Source organism: Homo sapiens, chromosome 21 (assembly GCF_000001405.40).
Source record: "Homo sapiens chromosome 21, GRCh38.p14 Primary Assembly".
In the NCBI taxonomy this organism is placed as follows: domain Eukaryota; kingdom Metazoa; phylum Chordata; class Mammalia; order Primates; family Hominidae; genus Homo; species Homo sapiens.
This window is the reverse complement of record NC_000021.9, coordinates 39,982,257-39,985,733: the sequence shown is the minus strand read 5'-3', so window position 1 is coordinate 39,985,733 and position 3,477 is coordinate 39,982,257. Positions and strand designations below refer to the sequence as shown.

General features: G+C 46.1%; 1 annotated feature.

Moving 5' to 3' along the window:
- Window positions 1,026–1,226: a silencer, noted in NCBI's record as "peak4411 fragment used in MPRA reporter construct". NCBI's record gives its function as "represses an SCP1 promoter by STARR-seq MPRAs in K562 erythroleukemia cells {active_cell/tissue: K562}" and the evidence as "EXISTENCE:reporter gene assay evidence [ECO:0000049][PMID:32103011]".

The following is a 3,477-nucleotide window of genomic DNA, read 5'->3' as shown; positions in this document are numbered from 1 at the left end:
TGGGTGTGTGTGGTGTGTGTGATGTGGTGTATGTACATTTGCGTGGGTGGTGAGTGTGTGTATATTTGTGTGTAGTGTGGAGAGGTGGCGTGCGTGTGTTCGGCGTGTTTGTGTTGTATGTGAGTGAGTGTGTGTGTGTGTAGTGTGGGGGTGTCTGATGTATTTGGGGTGTGTGTGTGTGTGTGTGTGTGTGTGTGTGTGTATGTTTGGTGCGTATGTGTGGTGTCTCCTGAAGAGCCCTTCAGAACCGTGTCTGGAAAGGTCAGAGTGACCCTGACCGTGGAGTAACATGACCTCCTGCTGACAGACTGGACTGTAGATTGGGAGCCCATGGATGCTTTAGAGACCCTGTGGGCCCCAGATGATGCAGGGATGGAGGAAGAAGGGAAGGGGCGGGAAGGCCAGTGTGACAATAATCCATTCTGGAGATGGGTCAGCCTCCATAGGCCAACTAACATCATATTTGGGGGTTGAACTAGAGGAGAGGCTGTGAGAATGTCTGGGAGACAGAGTTTTAAAAAGAAACACCAAAATCCATGACCAAGTAGGGGAGACAGGTAGGTCCCAGTGATGCAATGCTGGTGGAGAACTTGAATTAGGAGCCAGGATCTTGCCTTGGGGCAAGGGCAGGATTTGAACCTTCCCTCCAATGTCTATTAGCTATGACCTTGGAGTTTACCAATCTCACTATGCTTCGTATTTCCAAAATGACAAATATGAACAGATCATACCTCAAAAGATGACTGAAATTATTAAATATACAATACCAATAAAGCACTTGGTATGATGCCTGGCGCAAGATAAGCATTCCTAGAACATTAGCTACTGTGGGGGAAGAGAAGCACCAAAGTACACTTTGAAAATCTGAAAAAAATCTATGTACTTTCTTCCCAGAAAAATGCACTGTGCAAACACACCCTCCCCACACCCCCACATCCATAGGTATGCACACCACACGGACACGGACACACACACACACACACACACACACTCAATTTTGCATAAAACTTCCCCGGAACTATCGGCTCCCAGCAGCCGTGGCGGATTTTGTTAAATGCTCATGGATCCAGGCTAAATCGTTCCAATCTCCATAGAGGCGTCCTGCAGATATTCGGAAATGTGGCTGGATTTCCAGAGACTAGTCAAAGCCAGAGACATGAAGTTGGAAATCTCCAGCACATGTTTGTCCAAGATCATGAACCCTGAAGACATTCCGCGGGAAGTGGGGAGACTCAAGGGGGAATTTGGACGGCCTCACGCAGTCCACAGGCCGATGGGAAGGGGTCAGCAAACTGAAGAAGAAGCCCCCACACCAGAGAGCTGCAAACAGCGCTGGACCACCGGCATTTTAACTCCAGCTGGGTAATGTCTTAAGAACACAAACCACCACAACGAAAGCCCATAGGCAATTATTTTAAATTTCGTTGAAGTACATTTCACCATCAAATCCTTCTGTCTTATTTGGAGGCTGAATTTTTTTTCAAGCTTGTTTCTCCAGCTGTTCAATTTAAATTTATCCCTTTGCATAAAACTGTATTTCCCAAACCAAAACCATGGTACACATTTAGAAATAAGAGTATTTTTAGGGTTTATGGATTTATTTATGAGAAGTTTTACAAGCATACAAAAAGTAACATTTAGTTATGTAAGTTCAACAAATTAAATTTATTGAAAATAACAAAATTAGATGAAACCACAGAGATTCTGGAAAATCCCATTCTCCGATTTGAGATATTTTCATGGGTACCACTGCTGGGCAGAGAGCAGTGGCCCAATACATACTAGTTTCTCCTACTCCCTTTCAGCCTCAGCTTCAGAGGACAATGGGGAAGGAAGGAAGGAAGGAAGGGAGGGAGGGAGGGAGGGAGGGAATGTTAGTGTTAAGAGATGGGGAGGATGTGGTGCAGAAGGGGGAAGGAAGGAAGGAAGGAAAGAAGGAAGGAAGGGAGGGAGGGAGGCAGGCAAACTTGGTGGGATGAGGATGTGGTGCAGAAGAGGTGGGGTGATGGCATCTGGTGATCCAGGATTCTGCTCCCTTAGATGATGGGATTTGCAGGGCTCCTCTCACTAAGTTTCATGGTGGTTGTGTTACTGACCACAAGTTCTTAGGCCCCCATGCAACAGAAATTGTCACTAGGCCAAGCAAGTTTCCTAGACAAGCTTTATTAAGACTTCTGCCTGAAACATTGGGCATACATTGGGAGACAGCACAGGAAGAAGGGTCCTCTGGCTGGCACCCCAGGGGAATGCCTTGCGGTGTCTTAAGAAGGGTGACATGCATAACTCACGAGGTAGGTGAGGGTCATTTCACGTGCAGGGTGGAGTGCAGGGTGTGCAGATGCAGTAAGAAATCATGCTAACACATATTTTGCATGATTAGAAAATGGCAGCTAAGCCCCTCCCTGGGCGAAGGTATTACAATGAGGCTCAGAGTAAGGATTGGTCATTCTCCTGGTCTTGTGCACATGTGGGCAATAGACTTAACTCTCCTGAGTGGAATTTATGGTGAAATACTTCTTAGCTTAGTTTTTTTAGACAGCTTGCAAGGTCTGGTCAGCGGGTATGAGCCAGCTGGGGTGATGCCAGGAGGTCCGATGGTCAGCAGGCATGTATGGAGAAACATGTAGGTGGGGGTGGGCTCAGACCTGTCCCTACTCTGGCTCAGTTGGTGTATGTGGGTTTTTAGTTTTGTGCTCTGGTGTTTTTGTGGGGAATGTAGGGAGTTTCCAAAGCCATGCCACCGTCTGCTTCTTTCCGCTAGATGTTTTCATCAGCAAACTTGCTAAGCATCACTTAGTGATAGAAACGAGTACCACAGTCCATGAGAAATTTTCCCTTGACCCATCCTGGTAAGCACCAAATTGAAACTTGCAGAAAATCCAGGGTTAGTTGTTCTTTGCAGAACTACTGCATTAGCAATGGCACAGAGGGAGACATGGTGCTGATAATGACAAACATGGCAGCTAAGTACAGCGTGATTTGGGCCCTGAATCTGAATCTCAGTTTGGGGATCAATTCCCCCAATGCAGTCCGTGCGCCTGTGTCATGACACCTCAAACTACAGTGAGCAATGACAGGCCTTCCCTCCTTGAGAACTAGACTCCTATCTTAATCCTGTTTTAGTCCCCAGCACAAAACAGAGTCCCTAGCCCATAGATGCATTTTTTTAAATCTATTAATTAAGGGAAGGAATGATGCTTTAAGTTCTAGTTCTTGTCAACTGAATCCTATGAAATGCTTTTCTTTGTTGCACAAAATCCAGGCTGCCTATGTTATCGAACATGGAAAGGTGTGAAAACAAAGCTCTCTAATGAAATGGGCTCTGAAATCATTGGAACCTATGTCCACTGACATTGGTGGCGATGGTAGTAGGGTCCTTTAAACACCCTGTGGTGCTATAGGATGTAAGATGAAAATGGATGCGATCCTCCATTGCACCATCAGAAATCAACCTCTTCCCTTCTCCAGTAACAGCAG